The sequence below is a fragment of the Homo sapiens genome, chromosome 8 (assembly GCF_000001405.40).
Source record: "Homo sapiens chromosome 8, GRCh38.p14 Primary Assembly".
NCBI lineage: Eukaryota > Metazoa > Chordata > Mammalia > Primates > Hominidae > Homo > Homo sapiens.
The window spans coordinates 120,247,117-120,274,675 of NC_000008.11; the positions used below are offsets into that span (position 1 = coordinate 120,247,117).

The 27,559-nt window shown below is 37.1% G+C and overlaps 1 protein-coding gene across 13 annotated transcripts in view, besides 1 other annotated feature; it reads left to right on the forward strand.

The window, feature by feature from the left end:
• The window catches only part of COL14A1 (collagen type XIV alpha 1 chain), a 249,120-nt gene that overhangs the window by 122,663 nt on the left and 98,898 nt on the right, over positions 1–27,559 (forward strand). For all 13 annotated transcript variants that reach the window (NM_001413490.1, NM_001413491.1, NM_001413493.1 and 10 more), the window contains 6 exons: positions 497–619; positions 3,501–3,650; positions 8,124–8,240; positions 15,752–15,898; positions 19,711–19,767; positions 22,919–23,058. In NM_001413490.1, the coding sequence (NP_001400419.1) occupies positions 497–619; positions 3,501–3,650; positions 8,124–8,240; positions 15,752–15,898; positions 19,711–19,767; positions 22,919–23,058 (734 nt within the window). The remainder of the gene's footprint in view (positions 1–496; positions 620–3,500; positions 3,651–8,123; positions 8,241–15,751; positions 15,899–19,710; positions 19,768–22,918; positions 23,059–27,559) is intronic.
• Positions 19,117–19,701: an enhancer, noted in NCBI's record as "OCT4-NANOG hESC enhancer chr8:121278472-121279056 (GRCh37/hg19 assembly coordinates)". NCBI's record gives its function as "activates a minimal SCP1, AML or CMV promoter by ChIP-STARR-seq in primed H9 embryonic stem cells {active_cell/tissue: H9 hESC(primed)}" and the evidence as "EXISTENCE:reporter gene assay evidence [ECO:0000049][PMID:30033119]".

A 27,559-nucleotide genomic window follows, 5' to 3' on the forward strand; every position in this document is an offset into this window, starting at 1 on the left:
TATTTCCCATATATTTAATATTGAAGGCTGGGCATGGTGGCTCACGCCTGTAATCCCAGCACTTTGGGAGGCCAAGGAGAATGGATCACAAGGTCAGGAGATCAAGACCATCTTGGCTAACATGGTGAAACCCTATCTCTACTAAAAATACAAAAAATTAGCCAGACGTGGTGGTACGTGCCTGTAGTCCAAGCTACTTGGGAGGCTGAGGCAGGAGAATTACTTGAATCCAGGAGGTGGAGGTTGCAGTGAGCGGAGATCGTGCCACTGCACTCCAGCCTGGGTGACAGAGTGAGACTCTGTCTCAAAAAAGAAAAAAAAAAATTGAAAACAACCACAGACTCTCAAAGGCTTCTCATTGTGTGTTTCAGTGCACTTTCACTTTTAAATATTTTTAATTTTGTGGGAAGATGTCTTATATTTTGATGGCATCAGTGTAGGACATAAAGAAGGAAATTACACTGAATCCCTGTTTTTCCTTTTCTTTTCTACTCAGTACCATCCTCGGGGCCCCAGAACTTGCGGGTGTCCGAGGAATGGTATAACCGGTTGCGCATTACGTGGGACCCCCCATCTTCCCCGGTGAAAGGCTATAGAATTGTCTACAAACCTGTCAGTGGTAAGTAATGCTTTGTAAATAATGTTGATACCATGAGTAGTCACTTAAAATGTCTTTTAAGATAAATTGTTTTCTTATAACACCTTATGTTTGGTTGTATTTTTTTAAAGAAGTAGGGAGAACCTCTTACTTGTTTTGGAAAAATAAAGTGTTTTAGTATGGTCAGTGATAGGGTAGATATTATCAGGATGATGAAGCTATGACATCACATAAAAAACTACTGGGCACATCAATTAGAAGACTATATATTGGGTATATACATGACCTAATCATACCCTAGACCAGGAACCAATCTAAGGAAATCTTGACTTTATAGGAATAGGAAGCTTTATGCTCAATAAAGACATAAATTCTAAACATTTGGAATCTCTAACTTCAAAGTTCTCTTCTACCTCTTACTTCTTGGATTAGTTGGAAAATTTTCATTTACCAACTTCTTAGTCTCCTCAGTTTGGAAATGGAATAGGGGGAAGAAAAAAAAAACTCATCACGGTAGTAAAATGCTTTTCCACCAGTCTCTTAGCCACCTCCATAAGAGGATCCCTCTCGCCTCTACCTCCCACATCATTATATCTTGAAGGCATGAAAATGATACAAGTAGAAAGCGATCGTACCCTTGGTCTGTATGCCTGTGAAGAGGAGACCGTATGCCCCAGCACCTCTTACAGTACCATCTCCCCATTCTTAGCAATCTCACAAAGTTTAAACAGGAGACTAGAATTGATGTTATTAAGGTCTTCTCAGTTTTCTAGACCTGGGCCTGCAGTACTCTAGTTGTTCAGCAGAAAGGGCAGGAAAATTTTAAAAACATTCTTACGGTCATTAAAACATTTTCTGCTGGCTGGGTGTGGTGGCTCATGCCTGTAATCTCAGCCCTTTGGGAGGCTGAGGAGGGTGGATTGCTTGAGTCCAGGAGTTTGAGACCAGCCTGGGCAACATGGTGTGACCCAGTCTCTACAAAAATACAAAAATTAGCCAGGCATGGTGGCATGCACCGTACCCCCAGCTACCTGGGAGGTTGAGGTGGGAAAATTGCCTGAGCCAGATAAGTCAAGGCTGCAGTGAGCTGTGATCACACCACTGCACTCCAGCCTGGGCAACAAAGCAAGACCCTGTCTCAAAAAATAAAAATAAAATATAAGCACTTTCTGCCTTCAAAAACTCCATTAGTTTCAATCTTTCTTTTTTTTTTTTTTTTTTTTTTTTTTGAGACGGAGTCTCGCTCTGTCACCCAGGCTGGAGTACAGTGGCGCAGCCTCGGCTCACTGCAAGCTCCGCCTCCCGGGTTCACGCCATTCTCCTGCCTCAGCTTCTCCGAGTAGCTGGGACTACAGGCGCCCGCCACCACGCCCGGCTAATTTTTTTTTTTTTTTTTTAGTAGAGACGGGGTTTCACCGTGGTCTCGATCTCCTGACCTCGTGATCCACCCGCCTCGGCCTCCCAAAGTGCTGGGATTACAAGCGTGAGCCACCGCGCCCGGCCTAGTTTCAATCTTTCATCTGAGATATGGTTCTCGCCCCATATCAATTTTCAGCCTTTTCTATTGTGCCTCATTATCCAGGTGCTATTGTCTTCAGGCCCGTAAGACTCAAATACTCCCACCTCCAATTTCTCCAGACAAACATCCTTATAACTAGGAAAATAAAACAGTAAGACTAGAACATGGGTGCACTAGCCTGCTCCAGGCTCATTCTCTGGGACCCATCACCAATGTTTTTGTCTGTTTGCTTTAGGCCGGAAGCATGCGTTAATTTGTAAGACAGCCTTGCTTAATTTGTTTTTTGGATCATTTTACAAATATTGATCAGGCTTTCTAAGCACAAAAAGCTTTATTTTAGGCCAGCGGTTCTCAGTTGATGTCATTTGCTCCCAAACGGAGACATTTTTGATTGTTACAACTGGTGAGAGAGGACTTGCTCCTGGAATCTAATGGGCACTCCTAAACATGCTACAATGGACAGTACTCCTCTGCCCCAGAATAAATAATTTTTCAGTTCAAAATACCAATAGTAGTGAGGCTGAGAAATCCTGTTCTAGGCCAAGTGGGAGAAATATACATGTATGGTCATTTGCATTGTACGTGTGGGGCATGGGAAAATTGCTACTGAGGTAACACATACAGAGATAGACATATAAATGTATTGTTGGAAGGGGGCTTCTGGAGGAAAGTGATGAGTATTTTGAGAACTTGTCACTAACTCAAAGCTCTTAAAGAATGAGCATGCATGGGAAGAAGCAGGAGGTAAATAAATTTGTATAGGCTTTAGCAATGAATGTTTTTAATGCTTCATTAAAGACCCCACTAGATTGAAGAAGAGGTGAAAACATACAGACCTGAAAATGCTAGCTAATCAAGGGCCTTGGAATAAGAGCATAATCTGTCTGGTATTAAACATCCTAAAAGGAGCAGATAAAAATAAAGTGGTAACATTGATGCTGGTTCACAATGTGGCAAGGTATGGCCTGGTCTCCATGATAAAATTTGCTATGACTGCCGCTTGTGTGCCTGCTGGGAGCAAAGTTGGTTACCTTAGAAGGGACAATTGAGAATTATTTCTTTAATTGGACTAATTCCTCAATTGCCTATTACAACATAGTACATAACAATATAGCAGATGGTAGACTGTGAGGTGGACCAATTTCTTTGAATAAGTACAAGGATAAAACTATATTTAGGGAAATGACTAGGTCCCTAAAAATAACCTTTAGCCCAGCAGTTTTTAGAGCTAGATGAGACCAGATTCAAACCTCAACCCTGCTGTCTGCTTGCTGTATAATCCCAGGCAACTGAAAAGCAGTCAAGTGAATACAATTTGATCTAAGAGTGCTTCTATTTTCCCATATTTTGTTGTAACTAAAATATATCCTCTTTCTTCTTTAGTTCCTGGTCCAACACTGGAAACGTTTGTGGGAGCTGACATTAACACCATCCTTATCACAAACCTCCTCAGCGGAATGGACTACAATGTGAAGATATTTGCCTCCCAGGCCTCAGGCTTCAGCGACGCCCTGACAGGCATGGTGAAAACATGTAAGAGCCATTTCCGATGGCCTCAGCCGCATATGGGTTTTTGTTTTGTTTTGTTTTTTGAGATGGAGTCTCGCTCTGTCGCTCAGGCTGGAGTGCGCTGGTGCGATCTGGACTCACTGAAACATCCGCCTCCAGGGTTCAAGTGATTCTCCTGCCTCAGCCTCTCGAGTAGCTGGGATTACAGGCACAAGACACCATGCCCAGTTAATTTTCATATTTTTAGTAGAGATGGGGTTTCACCATGTTGGCCAGGTTGGTCTCAATCTCTTGACCCCGTGATTCAACCTCCTCAGCCTCCCAAGCACATGGGGTTTTGCTGCTTTGTTTTCACTGTAACTTTCACTCAACCCTGCTTCCATTTGGTCATTCATTTTTCCTTTTCCTCTGCATTGCCCTTTCTGGATGGTGTTTCATGGAAAGAAAGGTGTGCTTTTTATTTGGGGTAGTTCAGAGTCCTGGTTGGCAGGCGGGATGTCAGTACCTGGCTTTCAAATAGACTTGATGATTGCAGATAGGATTTCCTTCTGGAAAATCTGTGTTGGCATTTTTCAAATTAGGTGAAATTTTCCAAACAGCCTGTAGCCCGAGATGGCCAATGTCAAAGTTGGAGCAGGAGGAGGTTTGTCTTTTCTCAGAGGGGTCACTCCACCCCCTTGCACGTGCACATATGCCATCCATCAAAAGTACATGCCACCCCATTCTCAGCACTTCCTTCTCTACTCCTTTGAGGGTTTTCACGTTGTCTGCACACCATCTGGGACTCCTTAGTGGCATACACCACTCCCAGACACCCACACAATAATGCAATGTTTTCCAAATTCCAGCACCTGTGTGCCATATTCCTGAAGTTTGTTATACCTCCGCATGATCTGTTTATTTATTTGGATTGACTTACAGTTTTTGACCTAAATACTTTTCAAAATCCATGTAGTTACCCTAAACAGAAAATCAGTATTTTTATTTTTTAATATATTAAAAAATATTTTCTCCTCTACTAGCTTTTTAGTTAAATATCCAAATTTTCATAGATACCCTAGAGATTTCAATATGAATCCTTAGCTTATTCCAGTCTACCTTAAATTACTGCTTTTTGGCTTAAGAATTTTATAACAATGTATAATACCTTTTTCCTTTTTGCTACTCTTTTTCTATCTATTTTGTAACTCTATTGCTATAAACCCCTTAAGATATTATTGTTGTTGTTTCAAATACTCACTATTCTTTCATTTTTTTTCTAGCTTTATTGAGGTATAATTGGCAAATAAAAATTGTATATATTCAAGGTGTAGATACATAGATCTGCAATCTTCAATGTGATGATTTATGTTTACAATGTGTAATGATCACCACAATCAAATTATTTTTGAAGTATACATTTTATTTTCTTTTTTGATAGTCAAATGACATCTTTATTTTATTTTATTTATTTTAAAAACTTCAATATCCCTTAGGGTACAAGGGGTTTTTGGTTACACGGATAAATTCTCTAGTGGTGAATTCTGAGATTTTAGTGCACCCGTCACTGGAGCACTGTATACTGTACCCAATACATAGTCTGTTATCCCTCACCCCGCTTCCAAACCTCCCGTCTTTAGTCCCCAAAGTCCATTATATCACTCAAAATTTTTAATCACATTTTAAAATACACATTAAAGACAACATATAAATGACCAAAATACAAGTGGTTTGGCTGTATGCTAGTCTAGATAGTCCTGAGTGCAATCAACAGCACATGCCCCACTCTTGAGATCATAGTCATGGTATTGTCAAAAGAATAAGCCTCAAATCTGCTACTTGTTAGTGTGGCCTTGGGCAAATTGCTTAACTTCCCTCAGCCCAAGCTTTTTCAATTCTAAAATGAAGATAATAATAACCATCGTTCAGGCAAATTGTGAGGATTACAGAGAAAAAATGTATGTAACGTGCTTACGATGTGGCAAATATTCAATAAATAACTACTATTATTATTGTAATGATGGGGCTTTATGCACTTGCCCTATATCTTACCCTCATCCCTAAAAAATAATTAATCTAATCAATACTGTCAAGCAAGAGTGGGCCATATATTAAGCCAGACCCCAGCGCCCCCCGATTGCATATAGGGCCAGCCCTTTTATAGAAGAGGTGTCCTGAACTCTCTGTCGTGGAATATCTTGAGACCTTAAAGGCTAGACAGTGAATAAATTTATCTTAAAAGAAATAGTCTCCATCTTCAACAGGCCTAGGAAGCCTTTGGTTGGGGTTCTGATCTTGTGCTTGGCTGTTGATGTGACACTGTTGTGGCTTCACTAATGAAACCTCCAAGTATTTCCTCTGTTTTGCTCCTATGGCAACTTCACAGCCTTCCTTAGTTATACCACAGCATCTCCTATAGCTGGGATTACAAGCGTGTGCCACCATGCATGGCTAATTTTCTATTTTTAGTAAAGACAGGGTTTCACCATGTTGGTCAAGCTGGTCTTGAACTCCTGACCTCAGGTGATCCACCTGACTTGGCCTCTCAAAGTGCTGGGATTACAGGCGTGAGCCACTACGCCCAGCCCTGTGATTTTTTACTGGTCTCTCTTCTCCCTAGTCTTTCTTGTCTTTTTCCATCCTCTTTTCTCTGCTCCCTCTTCAATTCTGTTTCCTCTTTCTTCTCTCCCTTAATAAATATATTGAGCATTCCAAACATATTTTAAAAGACTGAGATTGTTGAATTGTTTTATAGTCTTGTCCTTAAAATATAAATTAGTGAGTTTATTATTTATTCTCTCTATTTCTCCCAAGCAAAAGAAAATCTCCCACAATGGCAAATAAATTAATATAAGGTATTTTAAAAATATTTTGTGTGGTTACATAAATCATTAACATTGATAAAAGTTATATAAATCAGGGCCGGGTGCAGTGGCTCACGCCTGTAATCCCAGCACTTTGGGAGGCTGAGGCAGGTGGATCACCTGAGGTCAGGAGTTTGAGACCAGCCTGGCCAGCATGGTGAAACCCTGTCTCTACTAAAAATATAAAAGTTAGTCGGGTGTGGCGGCATGCACCTGTAATCCCAGCTACTCAGGAGGCTGAGGCAGGAGAATCGCCTGTACCCAGGAGGTGGAGGTTGAAGTGAGCTGAGATTGTGCCACTGCACTCCAGCCAGGGTGACAAGAGCGAGACTCCATCTCAAAAAACAAAACAAAAAAGTTATATAAATCAATTAACATTAATTTCATTTGTTTTTGTTAGGGGAAGAGAGATTGTTTAATTGGCTTTAGGAAAAAAGTCTTCTTTCTTTGCTGTAACAGAAAGGAACAGTGTAAATGTATAAATTATAGTTAGACAAGATTATTTTTACCATCTTGAAAAGATAATTCCGAGGTATTTTTATTTTGTGAGTAAGCTAAGAGAGAGAGAGAAATAATAGAAAATGATATGAATGGAAGTCAGAGGTCATTAGGAAAAGTAAATATGTTGATTTTCTGCTTGGATCCAAATGATAAACACTGGCTACCTACTTTTCTATTGTCTTGTAGAAACAATATCTTATTGCCTCCCCAAACAACAATTTTTGCATATCACAATGTCTAAGATTAATAGGAACCTATGTATTTTAAAAATAATTTGTGTTATCTCTGTAAAATCTTTTATTTTTAAATTTTCAAAAGTGTTTATTCAATCGTGTTTTGAAGACCAGTCCTTGTGAAACTGCTCCTGTTTGCAGAACCCTTCCATTTTGACTATTTTACTCTTCTCTTTTTAAGCCATGGCTATCCCATTGGTTGATAAATACATACTGTATTTACTTTTTTATTATACAAGTATTACATATTTATTGTGTAATATTTAGAAAACACAAGTATATAAAGGGGGTAAGATTTAAAATTACCCAACATTTCATCATCCTTTGCATCTGGTCTTTTTTCTATCAATATGCACTTCCTCTTCTATTTAAAATGCATACAGGGCCAGGTATAGTGGCTCACACCTGTAATCCCAGCACTTTGGGAGGCTGAGGCAGGCAGGTGGCTTGAGCTCAGGAGTTTGAGACCAGCCTGAGCAACATGGCGAAACACTGCCTCTACAAAAAAAAAAAAAAAAAAAAATTAGCTGCATGTGGTGGCACATGCCTGTGATCCCAACTACTTGGAAGGCTGAGGTGGGAGGATTGCTGGAGCCCAGGAGGTTGAGGTTACAGTGAGATGAGATCATGCCACTGCACTCCAGCCTGGGCTACAGAGCAAGACCCCATCTCAAAACAAACAAACAACAAACAAATAAGAAAAATAGCAGACAGACCACATCATGCATAATGTTTTGCAATCTGTTCTCTCAAGTCATAAAACATTTATCTTTTGTATACTAACTCATTGTAAATTGATGGATTTCCCAGCTCTGACTATGCAGCTTTGAATGAAAATTTTTCCAGAAGTTAATTTCAGATTCAGGGATGCTTGTGTGTTGTCTGCGGTGTGATACAGTTATGTTTCTATTTCATTCCAGTGTTCTTGGGTGTTACCAATCTCCAAGCCAAACATGTTGAAATGACCAGCTTGTGTGCCCACTGGCAGGTACATCGCCATGCCACAGCCTATAGGGTTGTTATAGAATCCCTCCAGGGTGAGTACAATCCATCACTTACGTTTTTGTCAAGCATTTGTGTATTTGATTCTTTGCACACCACTGTGTACAACACACAAGTAGCATTAGACAACAGCCCTCTTGTCAAGGAAGCAATTTGTATTGGTCAGTCATGCTGCATATGGGGTCTGACTGGTTGGGTAAGTGAATTACTAACCCTCTGGAAACCTCCCTTTTTCTTATCTGGTAATGAGTATAGCCATAGTGCTGATTTTTTAGAGTTCTGTGAAGATAAAGCTGAGATATTCCACATAAAGCACTTGCAGTAGTGCTTTGTGCACTGGAAGGACCCCAAAAATGTTAGCAGCCAGATAGCCAAGACTAGCATACATTAAAATTATATTGTACTCTAATTTGGGTATTCACTCTCTAGGGATCAAGTTTAAATTTAATGTTTTTCTTAGTGTTTTTTTTTTTCTTTTGGGGATAATTGGTGAACAACAACCCTCATTCCAGAGATTTAATGTATCTACAGCATCATGAACAAGTTCTTCAGCATTACAGTTCTCATGTACATCCACAATTTGGGACTTGTTCCAAGGCTGAAACAGTAAAAATGTCTCACTGTCTTCATTAAAAATATCGAGAACAACAACAAATGGCTGATTCCCCAAAAATCAGTATCTAGAGCCGGTTAATCCTCTTTTCCCAACATCAGCATGGACACTATGCAGAAGATGAAATCAAATAATAAAAATTACTTAATCAGATTTATAGAAACAATAGAAAAGCTATATCTTATTATTTTATGGGATTATAGGAGATGCTAAAGAATCCCAAATGATTTTTTAAAATCTTCCAAACTTGGGAGTAAAATTGTTAAAAATGTAGCCTGTTCTTTCTGGGCAAATGATCTTGGTTTCCCCATTTCAGAAAAGCAAAATGACCTAATTATTTCTAGTCCAGATAAGACTGGGTTTAGTAGCCCATATTCCTGACTATAGCTATATTCAAAATCCATAAATCCCATTTTTGATCCAATCCATAAAGTGGAAAGCATAGTTTAGGAGAGCACTGAGAGCATTTGGAAATATGTCCCTTGTAGAATAAGAACTGAGATACGTGGAACATACGAGAAGAAATTCCTGCCAATCCCAGCCAAGATATCATCATGATAGACATGTGGCACCACTGCTTCCTTGAGTCCCTCTCTATGATGTAAGGATCCTTCCAGCCTGACATTGGCTTGACATTTGGGAGTGGTATTAACCTGGAACAAACATTGAGGGATAGAAAGTGAGGATAAGTCACATGGATTTTATGGTTATGTTAAATATGATTTATGGGATGCCAAAAGTAGATAAAGCACAGGCAACAATTTGAGAAACAACTATGAAATCTTGAGTTATGTTTCCTATATTTCTTTAAGTCACGCTTTAATATGGAAGGGTTGGCATTTAATGGTATTTGCTAAGCCTAAGAAAAAATTCTAAGTGTAATAATCACCCTCCCAAACTATCCCACAGTTCTTTTATATGATTTATCCTTTTATATGATTTAGGAAATTGAAATGAAGGAACGTGGGTTCCTGTGGATATTCGTTGCCTTTCATAAAAATTTATCACTATATATGTTGACACAACGATGTATAAAAACTGGCTTTATCAATGGAATCAATAAGATTCATAGTTTTTTAAATTAAATGCTTTTAGTTTAGCATATTTGCAAAGCAGCCTTGAGAGTTTTATCAGAGGATATGATTGATTTGTCTGATAATACTGAACTGGTCATCTAAAACCACAATAAGCTCTTTCTGAAGCCAAGATCTTTGCTGGCAAGTAAATGAGTCCACAGTTGCTTTTTATCTTCAAGTTAAGTGAACTTATACTCCCTCAGTATTATTTTCAGGCTGCCAGAAACTTTTTCAGCTGAACCTTTATAGTCTTAATTGAACAAGAACGAACAAAAGTGTTGTTCAATGTACTTCTCATCAACATTTGTTGCTGAGAGATTAGATTTGTGAACAAAATTAGCCACATTTCATTCACACAGTTGTCTTACTGAATATTATTTATCAACTGGACAGCAAAAGATTCTAATTGACAACTGGAAAAGGAATGTTTGATGGAGGAGTGAGTGTGGGGGTGGCAGTAGGAAATGTGTTTGGATAGTTTAACTCATACAAATTAGATCAAGGAATAGTCTTCCTACTTTGGAATGGAGAAGAATTAGGTTGAGTTTCATTATCTTATAGGGGAATGTGTTCACCATTCTGATTCACTGACTTTAAAGGACTTGTGGTAAGATGCCCATTCTTCCACAGGCAGATGAGTCTCAGACCCTCAGGTGTTTTGACTGTAATATTGGCTACATATGCGGTCTCTGCAGAAATTTCAGTCTTTCCACTCCAGGCAAAGGAGATACTAGGAATAAATGAGACCCAATTTCCCCATGTGTTGGAATGAAGCTTTATCCCAGTTGACCTCTTTCTGAATGCCTCCGTCAAATCCTTACAGTTTGATGGGTAATTTTTTCCAGTTTTTTTCCCATATATTTTTTCATAGCTTAAGCATGTGCACTTTTATTCTGAGATTAAGTCAGTAATGAAGTCTCTACTGTAACCACAACCGCTGGTCAACTTTCTTCTCTGGGCTTCAGCTTCTGTGAAATTATTTCATCTAAGTCTATTAACTGAGGCAATAACTGCAATTTTGCAAGGTTTTTGTGAGTAGAATAGCCACGTTGTATCATTCAGGCTTGTTTATTAATATTCACAGAAATCTAGATAAACTTAAGCCGAAGGGTCAATTTATTGGCTAGTATACTGAGAAGTCCAAAAGTCTCTGGCTTCAGGCACATCTGGACCTAGGTGTTCAATTTCCTAGAGATAAAGTCTTGCTCCTTCTTGTGTTCTGCTCTTCTATGCCTTCATTTTCAACCAGGCTCAGTGAGTCAGATCCAGAATTACATTCTCCCAGCTTCCAGCTTTAACAGTCTTGGTGAAAAGAGAGCTTCTCTTTCTCAATAGTTCCAACAGAAGTCCAGGAACTGAGTCATATTGGCCTGGTTTGGGTCACATGCCTCTAAATCTGTCATTGAGTGCAAGGGCATGAAATAAACTGACTGTTTGGACCTGGTTGCCTTCCACCCCTGTATCTGGTGGTGGTGGCTGGAGGTGGGGGTGTTATTCAATCCTCCCCAAACCATAAAGACCAAGACTGAGGAGGAATGGATGCAAAGAAAGAGATTTCAGATACAAGACAGGCAAAAGCAACAGATGTCCTTTACCCATGTAAATATTATGACATTTTTATGGCCAAGAAAAAAAAAAGATTACCAGAAGGACAAAGTCTTCTCAGGAAAGACTGAAATAAAATCTGCTTTTGACTCAGTCATCCATTTGCCAAATTAAATGATAGGTTTTTGGTTAATTCTAGGACAGCCCAAAGTGAGAGATTTTTGGTTGGCCTTGGGTAATTCAGAGCCCTGTGAGGTCCTCCATTAGTTCTGCAGATGCTATGGGATTTTATCCCTCTCTCCAGCTGTTTTTGAGTTGCCTTGGCACCTAAGGTTGACTTCAAATTCATGCATTTATTAATATATGCCACATAGGCCCAAACACTTTATTCCCACCCTAATCCCCACAACTTGATGAACTTCTTTGTAACCTGCTTAGATAAAGGTTTAGAGGATGCTCCACTTGTCCCTATTTAGGTGCTGAGATGTCAGCTTTGCAGTATTATTTATTGACAAGGATAGAGAACTGCAGCATAGTGGAGAGCCTACCTTACCAAAGACCAGGTCCACAGAAAGCATCATATGGAACAAAACCTATGATCAGAATTAAACTTTCTGAAGCAGTGACATTATGGGGAGTATAATTATTTATATCATAAAATTCTACCAGAGTAGTTACCTGGATGCTGGATATTCTTTGCTTGTGGAACTCAATAACTACTTGTAGGACATTTTGATAAGTCAAGCTGGTGGCGTTATAATTATAATTATACGTTTATAATCTGGAGAATGGATTTAGTGTTGCTTCCTAAGAATGAGTGCACAAATAAAGACAGATTTTTTCCCTGTGTTTCAAAAAAATAAATTAACTTCCTCCTTTTGGCATGAGAGGTTGAGGAAATTAGTCACCATTTGGTCAGTTTGAATGTTTTCCTTAAGGCAAAGCCAATAGGCCTGAATTGCACATGCCAAAAGCAACATGGATACACCCCCATTCATGGAACCCCTCTTTGTTAGTATTGGGAACCAAATTGATACTGTTTGCCATTAATCTTATAGTGCTTGTTCCAGTTTTCCAATGTTTATAGATTTATTATTTTAGCAGTAAGATCTACTTATATTCTGTTTTCAAGGGTCTTTAAAGTCCATGGGTTTCTACATGAAATAGGAAATGTGACAGAAAAGTGCATTTCTAGAATTGACTCCTGGAGAGTCCCCGGAAGGTTTGTGGAGGTAGATCAGTATGATCCACGCATAAAATTCAGGAAATGTTTGTATTACAGGTGGCTCACAGAAGCTTTTAGGAGGCTCTAAGGGATAGCTAAGGGTCAAAAAGAAACAGTTATTGTGGGATTCAGAGCCTGGAAACCATAGACTAAACTTGGACCTAAGCAAAGCGAAACACTGAGTTGACTAAATTTTACTTACTATCAAACCCATTTCACATAATATATAATCTCACAAACACTTTAACAATTTTTAAATGTTATCATTTTTCATAATATAGGAACAAGAAATGATTAAAGTTGACACTATTTACTTTGAACAAATACATTAATAAAAATTCTGTTATAAAGTTCCCTTCTGAAACTAATATTCACAATATATAAAAATGAATTTAAAATTCTATTTAACAAATAGCTTTAATTCATTTATATTTTTAAAAGTCTATATTTGTCCATAGACAAAATTTAAAATAACATATATCATGTTTATTCTGATATATGCATATTATAATATACATATCTTTGCTTCAATATATGCATATCAAAATATGGATGGCAATTTAACTAGGTTTGATGCTTATAAAATAGACAAAAATTGTGTAAAATTTTTGCATTTTACAGTTGAAAAAGCAACTGGTATGCTTTTATATATTGTAGATTCTGTTTATTCTTCATAAACTCCTCTGCAAATAACATTTTGAAGGAGCGGATAGTTCTTTTTAACCACTAAATGATATGTGTAATATATTTAATCAATGCAGTTTTTAAACACTAGTTTTTCAGCCCCTAGAAATAAAGCGTTATGAGGCTTTGATTAAACAAATGCAATTTATGGATAAGATGATCAATCTAGAGGGAAATTTGAATAATTGTTTTTTCATGGTAGCAGTGATTCCTCCTCTTAATCAGTTGTCCATTGTGGTAAAAACAACAACAATGCTCTGTGCCTACGAGGAAAACACTTGAAACTCTTCAATAATGAAAGCCACCCAAGTAGGCTCTGTGGAGTGATAAAGCATCATCTAATCTCTAGCCATCATGTTTGTACATTTTATATGCACTCAACAGCTCTCAGATGGTTTCATTTTGGAAAACTATATATTTCATTTACATTTGCTTAGAATATATCAGTGGAAATTAAAGCAACGTCCTCTGAAACTGAGCTTTAGAGTTCTGAATGCAGGGGGATGAGCAGAAGTGGGTCAAGGGGTAGAATAATACAGTTAGGTAGAAGGAGTAAGTTTTAGTGTTTGATAGTACACTAGGGAAATAATAGTTAACAACAACTGTATATTTCAAAATAGCTGGAAAAAAAGAATTGTAATATTCCCAACACAAAGAAAAGATAAATGTTTGAAGTGATGGATATTCCAATTACCTGATTTGATCATTGTACATTGTATAGAGGTATGAAAATATCACACAAACCCCCAAAATATGTACAACTATTATCTACCAGTTTAAACAATCTCAGTTCTGCTAATTAGAATAAGGACTTGAAGAAGTTATTAACTTTTCTGACCTTTAGTTTCTTCTCTTTAAATTGGGAATAATTATAAATGTTATAAGAATCAAATGAGATAATACATATGAATTCCTTAGAATATTGCCTGGCACATGATAAGCACTCATTAAATGTTGGCTATTATTATCTTTATTGCTGTTGTTATAATTAAATAGCAAGCACAGAACCTGGATATAATAAACCCTCAAGAAATGATGAATATAATTAATCCAGATTCCTCAGTCTCAGGACCTAAGGGCCAGCACTAGTTCTTCCAGGAGATGTACAGCAATTTTTCTATGGATGTGGGAACAAAGAAACGAGCCAATAGTTAGTCAGGTCTCCAGAGTTCTTTGTGCCTCTGTCATGGTGGAGAAAAAGACAGAGAAGGTGCCATATGAATTGGCTGTGTATGACATGTCTCCTTGGTAGATAAAAAAAGAACCAGAAATTGAGACTGAACTCTACAGCATATATGGCCCTATGCTATGTAAGCACCATGTCCCTTTTCCTCAATTAAAGGATTTTCAGAGTGGATGCAGGGCATTTGGAGAGGCCCCTCTGAACTCCCTGGGAATGTCTTTTGCAATTGAAGGAAACCACTGGTATCAGTTAAAAGTCAAGGCTGAGAGGGAGATACTGGGCAGGGTGAGGACTCCTTGGTGGTCCCAGTGCTGCTGCAAGCTCTTGCCTGCTGTTGTGGCAGCTTTGAAGACAACCTGGACCCATGGACCAGGGCTTCTGAGACCCATACCTGTATCTTTAGACCACTGCCTAGAAGGGTGGTCTGTTGGGTGGTAATAAGTTATATGAGGCCAAAAGGAAGTATCTGTTTATGTTATATAACATTGGGCTGTGTTCAGAAAATCATATCGAATAAAAGGGAGTTCAGATTTAAAAAAAATAGGCCAGGCATGGTATCTCGTGCCTGTAATCCCAGCACTTTCAGAGGCTGAGGCGGGTGGATCATCTAAGGTCAGGAATTCGAGACCAGCCTGGCCAACATGGTGAAACTGCATCTCTATTAAAAATACACAAATTAGCTGGGCATGGTGGTGCACGCCTGTAGTTCCAGCTACTCAGGAGGCTGAGGCAGGCGCATTGCTTGAACCCGGGAGTAGAGGTTGCAATGAGCTGAGATCGCACCATTGCACTCCAGCCTGGATGACAGAGTGGGACTCCATCTCAGAAAAAAAACAAAAACAAAAACAAAAAAACCCCACAAAGATTAAAAAACTAAATAAATGCCCTCACATCTGCATCTGTCCAAAAGATCAGTTAGGATGTGTGCATATAATTACATGCATTAATAGTTCTCCATTAAGTAAAGAGTTGATTTCAGAAGTCTTTTAATAGTAAACTTCATTTTTGGACATATAAAATGTGATTTTCCATAGAAAAATACCAGTGAATATATTAACTCTTTGGAAGAAGATACAATACTTCAAACAAATATAACTCATTCTGGAGTTATCTGATGTGGGCTAACATGTGAAGTATTTTAGAAGCAAATCATCTGCCAATGGCTGTGTTTCAAAAATTTCATATGTGTGTGTTTTTGTTTTGTTTTGTTTTTATTATAGATAGGCAAAAGCAAGAATCCACTGTGGGTGGAGGGACAACCAGGCATTGCTTCTATGGACTTCAGCCTGATTCTGAATATAAAATCAGTGTTTATACAAAGCTCCAGGAGATTGAAGGACCTAGTGTGAGCATAATGGAAAAAACACGTAAGTCATGTGTGTTCTCTCCTGATCCCTCTCCCCATGAACAAACAGAATTTCAGGCATCCTGTTTCCTTATCCCATTTAGAAAAATATTAGCTATTGCTGTTCAGGAATATACGTAATACAAGTTTTGTTCCTCTTACTCAACCCCAGAATTCATTGCATATGGCCCACTGATGTCATCAATATGGGTTTTTTATTTCCATTCTCCATATATGTTTCACAAGAGACTAGAAGGCCACACGATAGTAAAGCAGTTGAGACAATGACTTACATTGTGATCCAGATCCATAAGGAACATTTGTGGCATGTGGAGTGTGAAATGCAGTTTGAGGACGACTTGGCTCTGACATTAAAACAATGGCATATTACCACAGCCATGAGGATGGGAAGGGAGCCAAGATGTTCCAACTGGATGACCCTAGAGTTACTGCTTGCCTAAGAAGCTCTTGCACTTTTTCCAAGCTGACTGCAGATGTGATGCACTAAAGGGAAAGGCAAAGTATAAAATTAAAACAAAGCTCTTTTTACATGTTCCAAAGAGCAAGGAGAGTGTCAACTTCTTGAAATGGCTTCTAGTCAAAGATTCTTGACCCCGGCTCCACAAACATTAAAATGGTTTGAAATGCAGTGAATTCTGGGGGACATTTGTGTGCTTAACTCAGTATGTTGAATTTAAACTTGAAATTCCGGGAGGATTTGTGTCTGAATAGGTGTTGGGCAATGGGCTTTCTTGGTGACCCGTCTATCATGTACATGGCATTTAGAAGGGATTACTATCTGTGTATAGCTCTTCCAGCCTCTCTGGCACTTGCAGAGGGAAATCATGCACATGTAACCTTCAAAAAGAGAGGATAAAAGTATAATAAATTAAATCATCTTCTTTTACGTAATACAAAGACTTTATTTCACAACACTTAAATATGCAGTATTTCATATTCCACATGTATTTTTGAGGTATAATTTATATAACATAAAATTTAAGTACCATTTTAAGTGTGCAGTTCAATAATTTTTAGTACATGTAATGAGTTGTATCAGCATCCCTACAATCCAATTTCAGGACGTTTCCATCAACCCAAAGAACATTTCCTGCTATTTGAAGTCGATCTCCTTTCCCACCCTGAGCCTCAGACAATCTACTTTCTTTTATTATACATTTGCCTTTTCTGGACATTTCACATAAGTGGAAATATATCATATGTAGTCTTTTACATCTGGCATCTTTCACTTAGCATATGTTTTTGTGGTTTATCCATGTTGTAGATTGTGTCAGTAGTTTGTTTCTTTTTATTGCTGATTAGAATTCCATCTTATGGATTGTAAATCATATAGTTTTGAAGTTAATAGGAACCTGATAGTACACAAGACTTAGAGTCAAATGGTTTGTTTGAAGATCTTGTTCTGCCCCTTTCTAGCATTATGGCTTTAGGCGATTCAGCATCTCTGAGCTTTTCACTCATCAATAAAATTAAATACCTACTCTCTTGCCTCAAGTGGTGGCAGTAAACAACCAATAAAAGAATACTCATTGAAGAGCTTTTCAACCCATATGTCATCTAGCAAGTACTTTTTGTCATTACCATTATTATTTTCTTAAAGGTCATAAACTAAAGGCTAGATCTCACTATCAGGCATGTTTTCTCCAGCCATACTTTTTTAAGTTTTAAAGTAGTTTTTGAAAAGTCAGAATATCTTGCAGCACTAAGTATCTATCTTCATGGTGCCAATCTGCTGGAACCAACTAAATGCTGTCTGTTTAGACAGTGCATGTGCGCTTAAGTTGGCTACCACACCTTAATGTTCACGCTAAGTTCTTTGCGCTTATTCGTTGCTCACCTGACCCCTAGAAACATTTGTGTTTAGGACCCCTGATCTACTTTAGCTTCTCCTATCCTTGACCCCGCACTGGTTAACTGCTAACCTAGGGTTAAATCCAATTTGGATAGCTCTGTTTGATGTAAATGTTTTCCTTATGTTGGAGGCATCTGTCTTCTTGTAGCTTCCACCCATTGGTTCTGGTTCAACCTTCTGAAGCAATGCAGGTAAAGACTATTCCCTCTTTATATGACAGCCCCTCACATCCTTGAAGACAGGGACAATCTGTATGCCACATATAGAATATAAACATGTGTCCCCAGTTCACTGTGGTTCTTCTTACCCAAGAGATTCTTTAGCCAGATGTTCTGCCCAATCGTATTAATCTGGCTGCCATACTCTCTTACTGATTTCATTCTTGATTTATTGACCAGACTTAGGAGATGCCTTGATTTTCCATGTTAAAGAAGATGCACAATTATTAAGATGACTGACTACTTCCACAAATTTTAAAATTTAAAAAATGGCTTTAGAAACATTTTGTGGGGTTTTAAAGAAAGTTTTGCAATCCTAGTTACAAAAAAAATTTCTCATTTTTTAAATTTGGAGAGTTTTTAGCTTCAAAAATTGCCTTTAAAAATAACAGTGATATATATCCATAATAGTAAAACAGAAATGTATAAAGTGCATTGTCAACCTCCCTCTTTCCTTGTTCTTCCTTTTCAGAAATATTTCCTTTTCACACACACATATATATACATATTTATGAAAAATAAAAAGCACATATATATAAAATAAAAAAGGTATATATATGTGTGTGTGTGTGTGTATGTGTGCGTAAGTTTTATTTTTCACAAATGAGATTATGCCATGGTATTCTGTGACTTGTTTATTTCACAAAATAATCATCTTGAATATTTTTCCATTTAGTAATATATAGTTACCTCATTCTTTTAATGTTGAATCCTTTTATTTAAATTATTTTATTTTATTGAACCTTAAAGTTGGAAGAGACCTTACAGCTCACCTCTTAGCCTTCCTGACAATGAAGAAACTAAACTCCCCTTTATAAAATTCTTGGCAAATAGTCAGTCTGCCTGAGCTCAAATCCTTCTAGCTATTTGGTGCTTAGTATCGCCTGAGGCTAGACATCCCCTCTGTGAATGGCTATGTTTAGTGGAGGGTTTTCCTGAGTATTAAACTGGGATAGCGAGAAGAATTTTCTTAGTTTTTCTTAAATCTTTAGTGTCAAATAAGAATTAGAAATGAATACGTAATAACATCGTATTTTATGTTTACCTAATGACATCAAAACTTCCTGATGCTTTGCCACATGAGCTGGAATGAGAATTGATAATCACTACTCTGATCTAACTGTCCCCAGATCCTTTAACCAAGCCATACCTCTGCAGAGTATGTGGACTTCTCATCCCACATAATCCAGGCTGAAAAGACCCAAACACACTTTAGCCTGCCAATGTTTACATTTGGTCCTCAAAACCAAAAGACATTTCCAGATGCAGTCTGAGCAGAGCAGAATGAATCAGAGTCCACTGGTGACCAGTATCCTGGGGGATGCAGGATGGAAAGGGAAAAGTGCTATTGAGCAAGGATTGATGGTGAATCCTTAGGCAGAATGGAAATGAAGTTTATTGTGTGTGTGAAAGCAACAGGAGACGAACTTTCAAATGGGTTGGCAGGATTCCTGCCTTAAATCAACATTAGAACCACTTTGTAGTTGACAGTTTGATTTCATTGACTCCTGCTGGGTAAACTGAATGGTGGCAAAATGGCATTTCAAGCCTTCAGTCTGAGGATGAGACGATGGATGGAGTCAGTTTTCACAGGCTGCGGCTGATTTATAGTACTCATTAAATTCTCAGAGAAGACAGTTGTCAAAATCATTGACTACCCTGAATATTTATTACTCCATGACCTTCCGCTCTTCCCCACAGATGAGATGGTGAACTGATGTCCTTTCTCCCTTTCCTTTACAGAATCACTTCCTACACGACCACCAACTTTTCCTCCAACCATTCCACCAGCAAAAGAAGGTAAAAGAATAATAGAATAATTATCTGATTCTAGGTTTAGGATTTGTGTTGGTTTTGTTTGCCTGTTCATTTCAAACCAGGATATTAATAAAGTATATTTATTGTGCTACCTAATTTTCTCCTTAATACAAATGCTTATCAACCATGATGGGCTTGAATGATATCCATTTAATATCAATTCTGCACACAAAGAGTGGATTTACTAACAGAATTGCTTAATACTATTTTTTTTGAAATATCAGAGCAGTTAACATTCATTAAGGAAGCATAGTTACATAATTTGTAAGTGAAAATCCAGTTTGTAGTTCCTCAGATACAGTAATAGTTTCCCAGCCTACCTCTGAAGTGTCTCTTTCAGTCGTTTTTTCTTTCCTCATCACAACAGTTCCTCATCACCTTTTACCTAAGCCATTAAGGTAACTTTAAAAAGGCCCTCAACAAAGTAGTGATCATTATTTTTTTATTTCAATAATGAACATTTATTAATCCTGCTATTTATTCTCAAGGCTCTTATAGTAGGCATGGGAAATACAATAATAATACATGATTGCTGCTCTCTGCTTATTTTTAGTATTAAAGAGAAATAGGTGCTTGCCTAGATAAATACCAGTCAAGTTTATGAGTTATAAAATAGCAGTTGTATTATGTACCACCCAGAAGTGGTAATGGTTAATACTGCTGCAGATTAATGACTCATAAGGAAGAGGCATTTGATCTACATTTTGAAGAATGAGTTTGAGAGACAGGTATTGGGATGAATAGCACTCGGTGTCAAGAGTGATCCAACTGCTTAATGGATTTAGTGAACCATAAATGCTTTAGTGTGGCAAGAAAGAGAAAAGAATGACAGTAGAGTTATGGAGTGGTTAATGTGACAAAATTAGGAATTTGGGCTTTATCCTGTGGGAAATGGCATGTTGTGAGAATTTGTAAGAAGGAAGGGCGATCTGATGAAATCTATGTTTAAGAATGATAACTTTGGTGAAATAGGGAGGATGGACTAGAAGAATGAGAGGAGAAAGTAGAACACATTAGAAGGTTGTATTGGAAGAGCTCTTCCATTCACAATGCATCTTAAAGTGCCTGTTACATACCAGGGAAACAATAAAAAATAAGTTGTTGAGAGCTTAAAGCCAGTAGATTCAAATGCTGCAGAGAGTAGAAGACACAAATAAACAGAGGCAATTAAGAACTCTAATAAAGCTCAACATTCATCCTAGGATGGCATGCAGAGTCTTCACAAATCAATCTACTTTGCAGTATTATTTCCCAGAATACATTATATAATAGCAAAATTGTACAACTCAGGGCTCCCCATACATGTCTTATGCTGTATCTTTGAAAGCTATTCACTCTACCTGGAATGCCAAATTCTTTCTTCTTCCAGCTTCATATCTAGCCTTCTTTAGTCTCAACATCTGTGGTTATTCTCACTATTGGAACTAGAAACAGAATCCTAATTGATAAATTTACTAATTAGGCACTTCTGATGCAGATATTACAGAATGCTCTGTAATATCTGCATCAGATCAGAGTATTTTTATTTATAGCTGAGTATGGATATTATTCCGTAAACATTCATGAATGCTTATAGAAGACTTATGTGATCTGGAAGGGTCTGTGGGGTTAAGGATTGACAAAGTAGAAACATTGGTTCTGAGATTTTCATCATGATGGTTTAGATGGTGCTTTTGCAACTTGAATGCACTGTGTATTTTAGGCTTTGTTTGTCCTGGGTATATTTAATTTAAAAGCCAATAAATTTGTATTATTAAAGTAATACTAAATATTTATTAAACGAACATTAAAACGTAGAAAAAACTTAAAAGAACAGCATTAAAAACACAGCTTTCTACCCCAGAGGTAACTCCTTCATGCATGTGGATATATTTTCTTTCTTTGATTTACTAACTATTCATTTTGAGTGTATTTTTTAATAGAATTTGCTCTCATTTTGAAAGTGAAACCTAATTTTCATTTTTATCTTTCCATGGAAACAGAGAACCTGTTTATAAACTCATAATTAGCAGATCTTGTTATTCCTTTCAGCTTTAAGTTCAAACCACAAATTTGTAAAATTTTATAAATCGCAGAACTCAACCTTATCAGATCCTTACTGCCCCTAAAGTATTAGCTCACTTGGAGATGGTTTATTTTATATTATAAATAGCTTTAAGGGAATGAAGTTGTACTTCATAAAATAAAAACTAAGTGAGGTTTTTCTTAAAGAAAGGAGAAAGGCACATTATCTCATAGAATATTTATGTGCAATTGGCCTAAGATTAAAAGATTCAGACTATTGAAGAGCAAATTGTTTGCTTCATCATAAAACAGATTCAACTGCAATGATCAGCCCTAATGAAGAGGAGGAGAGGCATAGATAATCTGAAATAGCACATGATACCAAAAAAGAACTTTTAAAAAATGTTCTCAGTAGAGTAGGTTTTTATTGGTGTAGTTTGCTTTGTTTAATTCTTTTTGCTTGTTTGATTGCTTTGTTGATATCTGTAATACCTACTGATAATACTTTCCCTTGGCTAGCATTAGTGTACATTTCTTGACATATATCAGTGGGCTATAGAAGGACAGAGACAAAAATTTGTTTTAACCAAGATTAGAATTTGTTTGCTTAGGGCCTCAGCCCAAGTGAATATCAAATTATAATTAGATTAATCTGGTTCCATTTTATCACATGCTTTTCTGCTGAAATTGAATCTCTCTGACATTAACTTACTAATTCAATAAGAAAAGGACAGGGTGCACAGAGTGATAGTATGTCCTTTTTTCCAATCAGTTGGCACTAGACAGTGTTTGCTGATACTTCGATCTCTGAATCCCTGTAGTCCCATCTTTTCCTAGTCCTTCATTTTCATTCTTTTGGGCTGTGGTTGGTGGACAGTTTTTTCTTTCTCTATTTCCACACGGATAATAGAAGCTTCTTAGTCATGAATAAGAACCTTGAGTATAAAAGAGTAATTACAGCAAAGAAGCATAGTGAGCAGGAGTTTGGAATATGAACATTAAGAAGTTTATATCTTTCCTTTGAAAAAGAGCTTCACTTAGCAGAGGGCAACCATTATTTGTCTTATTGGTTTAATAACTACTAACTTTTCCCCTTATCTCTGACTCAAAATTCATTGTTGGTCTTCAGTATGTAAGGCGGCCAAGGCTGACCTGGTATTTATGGTGGATGGATCCTGGAGCATTGGAGATGAAAATTTCAATAAGATCATCAGCTTTCTATACAGCACTGTTGGAGCCCTGAACAAGATTGGCACAGATGGAACCCAAGTAAGGCTAATAAATAATTAATTCATTCTATGTATTTAGAAATTATTTCTCCAGCTCTTATTACAGCTACTTGTCAGGGACTATAGGTCAAGAACTGTAATGATTGGGTTCAACCTTAAATGAAAGGATAGACAGGTATGTGTTTGGAAGCAGCTTGTTGATGCCTGGCAAAGCTCCAGAGGATGCTTATCCTTAAAAGGTGTTGAGTTCGGCAAACTAAAACAAGGTAGAAAGTCCATGTCAGGGTGTTATTTTTACATACTAGGGTAGAATGTCTCCTTTAATGATACATACAATATTTTCCCTGCCCTTAAGCACTTTAAAATCTTGAAAGGAAAAGGTTAAGGTCACACCTTACTATAGATCATGTGGAACATGAAACTAACTCATTCATTTAAAAAATATGTATCAAGGATTTATTATGGCCATGTACTATACTGTCATAATGAATGTCAATCAATGTCTCTAATTTTGTGGGGCTCATATTCTTAAAAGTAAGGACAGAAGACATACCAGTCAGAATGGCTATTATTAAAAAGGCAAAAAATAACAGATGCTGGCAAGATTGTGGAGAAAAGGGAACACTTACACATCGTTGGCAGAAACGTAAATTAATTCAGCCATTAGATAAAGCACTTTGACAGTTTCTCAAAGAACTTAAAACAGAATTCCCAAACCCAGAAATCCCACTGTTGGATATATACCCAAAGGAATATAAATCATTCTACTGTAAAGACACATGCATGCACATGTATGTTCATTGTGGCAGTATTCACAATAGCAGACATGATATTAACCTAAATGCCCATCAATAGTAGACTGGATAAAGAAAATGTGGTACATATACATCATGGAATATTATGCAACAATAAAAAAGAATGAGCTCATGTCCTTTGCAGCAACATGGATGAAGCTAGAGGCCATTATCCTAAGCAAACTAATGCATAAACAGAAAACCAAATACTGCATGTTCCCACTTATAAGTGGGAGCTAAACATCGAGTACATGTAGACACAAAGAAGGGAAGAGCAAACACCAGGGCCTACTTGTGGGTGGAGGGTAGGAGGATAGTGAGGATCGAAAAATTACCTGTCAGGTAACATGCTGAATATCTGGATGATAAAATAATCTGTGCATCATATCCCATGACTTGCAATTTATCTCTCTAACAAACCTGCACATGTTCCCCTAAACCTAAAAGAAAAGTTAAAAAAAAAAACAAGAGAAAAGGGACAGAGACAGATATAAACAGGCAAGCAAATAGATTCACAAGGTAGGGATGTAAGCTATGAAAACAGAGTGATGTGATTTAAAGATGTCAGGGGATTACTCTAAATTGTGTGTGACAGTTATTTTAAATTGTATGGTAAGCAAAGACCTCTTTGAGGAGGTGCCTTTTGAACTGAGATGTGAATGATGCAGACTTAAAGATCTGAGAATAGAATTTCCAGACAGAGAAAATGATAAGTACAGAGGACCCAAGGTGAGAATGAGTTTTGAAACTTCATACACCAAAACTTGTGGCTAGAATATAGTAGGTGAGAGTGTGAGGATAGAACAAGTGGAAGAAGCAGGCAAAAGCCAGATCATCTTGAGTCTTGTGGACCATCAAAGGAGTTGAGTATTATCATAAATGCAACTGGAAGTCACTGGAAGGTTTTAAGGAGAGCCAAGATCTGATATGTTTCAGAAAAAAAGATTACCCCAACTGCTTTGTGGCATGTGAATTACTAATAAGAATAAGAGTGCAAGCAGATAGACCAGTCAGGAAGATGCTCTCATGGTCCAGCAGAGTGATCATGGTGGCCTGGACTAGGGTGGTAGCAATGAGGTACACTGAAACAAATGGATTTGGAATATATTGTGAAAGAATGGCTAAGAAAATGTGGGCACAAGAAGTACCGTAAGAGGATAATGGATATTTTGCAGAAACCTTACAAGACAGGAGAGATTAGGGTCCTATTTTTAGCCTCCTTAAACAAAATAACTGTCAGCCAAGAATTCTGAATCCAGCAAAACTAAGTTTTATAAATGGAGGAAAAATAAAGTCATTTTCAGGCAAACAAATGGTGAGAGAATTTGTCACTACCAGACCAGCCCTATAAGAAATGTTAAAAGAAGTTCTAAATTTGGAAACAAAAGGTTGATATACATCAGAATATAACCTCTTGAAAGCATAAAACTCATAGGGCCTATAAAACAATAACACAATGAAGAAAACAAAGTACTTAGGTAACAACATGGTGACTGGAACTGTACCTCACATCTCAATATTAACGTTGAATGTAAATAGCCTAAGTGCTCCACTTAAAAGATGCAGATTAGAAGAATGGATACAAAATCACAAACCAAATATCTGCTATCTTTAAGAGACTCACCTAACATGTAAGGATTTGTATAAACTCAAAGTAAAGGGGTAAAAGAAGATATTCCATGCAAATGGAAACCCAAAGCAAGCAGGAGTAGCAATTCTTATGTCAGATAAAACAGACTTTAAAGCAACAATAGTAGAAAAAAAAGACAAAGAAAGTCATTATATAATGATAAAAGGATTGATCCAACAAGAAGATATTACAATCCTACATTTATATGGACTTAACTCTGGAGCTCCCAGATTCAGAAAACAATTACTGCTAGACCTAAGAAGTAAGACAACAACACAATAATAGTGGGGAACTTTAACACTCCACTAGCAGCACTAGACAGATAATCAAGACAGAGAATCAACAAAGAAGCAATGGTCTCAAACTACACTCTAGAACAAATGGACCTAACATGTATTTACAGAAGATTCTATACAAGAAGTGCAGAATATACATTCTTCACATCAGCATATGGAACATTTTCCAAGCTAGACCATGATAGGCCACAAAACAAGTCTCAATAAATTTTTAAAAATCAAAGTCATATCAGGCATCTTCTCAGACCACAATGGAATAAAACTAGAAATCAACTCCAAAAGGAATCCTCAAAAGTATACAAATACTTGGAAATTAAACCATTTGCTCCTGAATGATTTTTGGGTTAATAATAAAATCAAGAAGGAAATTTAAAAATTATTTGGAATGAAAGATAATACTTACACAAGTTGTCAAAACCTCTGACATACAGTAAAAGCAGTTCTAAGAGGAAAATATATAGCACTCAATGCCTACATCAAAAAGTCTGAAAAAGCACAAATTGGCAACCTAATGTCACACCTCAAGGAACTAGTGAAACAAGAACAAACCAAAGCCAAAGCTAGCAGAAGAAAAGAAATAACAAAAATCAGAGCAGAACTAAATGAAATTGAAACAAAAAGCAATAAAAAAGATCAATGAAACAAAAAATTGGTTCTTTGAAAAGATAAACAAAATTGATAGACCATTAGCTGGTTTAACCAAGAAAAAAGAGAGAAGGTTCAAATAGTCTCAATTAGAAATGAAAATAGAGACATTACAACCAACACCACAGAAATGCAAAAGATTATTCAAGACTATTATGAACACCTCTATACATAGAAACTACAAAATCTGAAGGAAATGGATAAATTCCTGGAAACAACAACCCCCCTAGATTAAATCAAGAATAAGCCCTGAGCAGACCAACAACAGGCAGTGAGATTGCATCAGTGATTTTAAAACAGTTTTCCAAAAAAAAAAAAAGGCCCAGGGCCAGATGGATTCACAGATGAATACTACCAGACATTCAAAGAAGAATTGGTACCAATTGTATGGAAACTATTAGGTTGGTGCAAACCACAACTACTTTTGCACCAACCTAATATTCTAAAAGATTAGAAGGGGAATTCTCACTAAATCTTTTTGTGAAGCCAGTATTACCTGATACAAAAACCAGTAGAGGACATAATGAAAAAGAAAATTACATGCCAACATCCCTTGTGAACATAGACGCAAAAATAATCAACAAAATACTAGCTAAACAAATCCAACAACACATCAAGAAGATAATACGCTGTGATCAGGTGGATGTCATCCCAGGGACACAGAGAGGGCTTAACATACACAAGTCAATAAATGTGATACATCACATAAACAGAATTAATAACAAAAACCATATGTTCATCTCATAGATGCAGAAAGCATTCAATAAAATCCAGCATCCCTTTATGATAAATACTTTCAACAAATTGGGAATAGAAAGGACATACCTCAAAATAATAAATGCTATATATAGCAACCTCACAGCCAAAATCATACTGAATGGAAAAAAGTTGATAGCATTCCTTCTGAGAACTGGAACAAGACAAAGATACTCATTTTCACCGCTTCTATTCAAGATAGTACTGGAAGTCCTAGCCAGAGCAATCAGGCAAGAGAAAATAATAAAGGGCATCCAAACTGGAAAAGAAGAAGTTAAACTATTACTGTGTGCCAATGATATGATCATATACCTAGAGAACTTAAAGACTTCTCCAAAAGACTCCTAGATTTGATAAACAAATTCAGTAAACTCTTAGGTTACAAATCAATGTATACAAATCAGTAGCACTGCTATACAC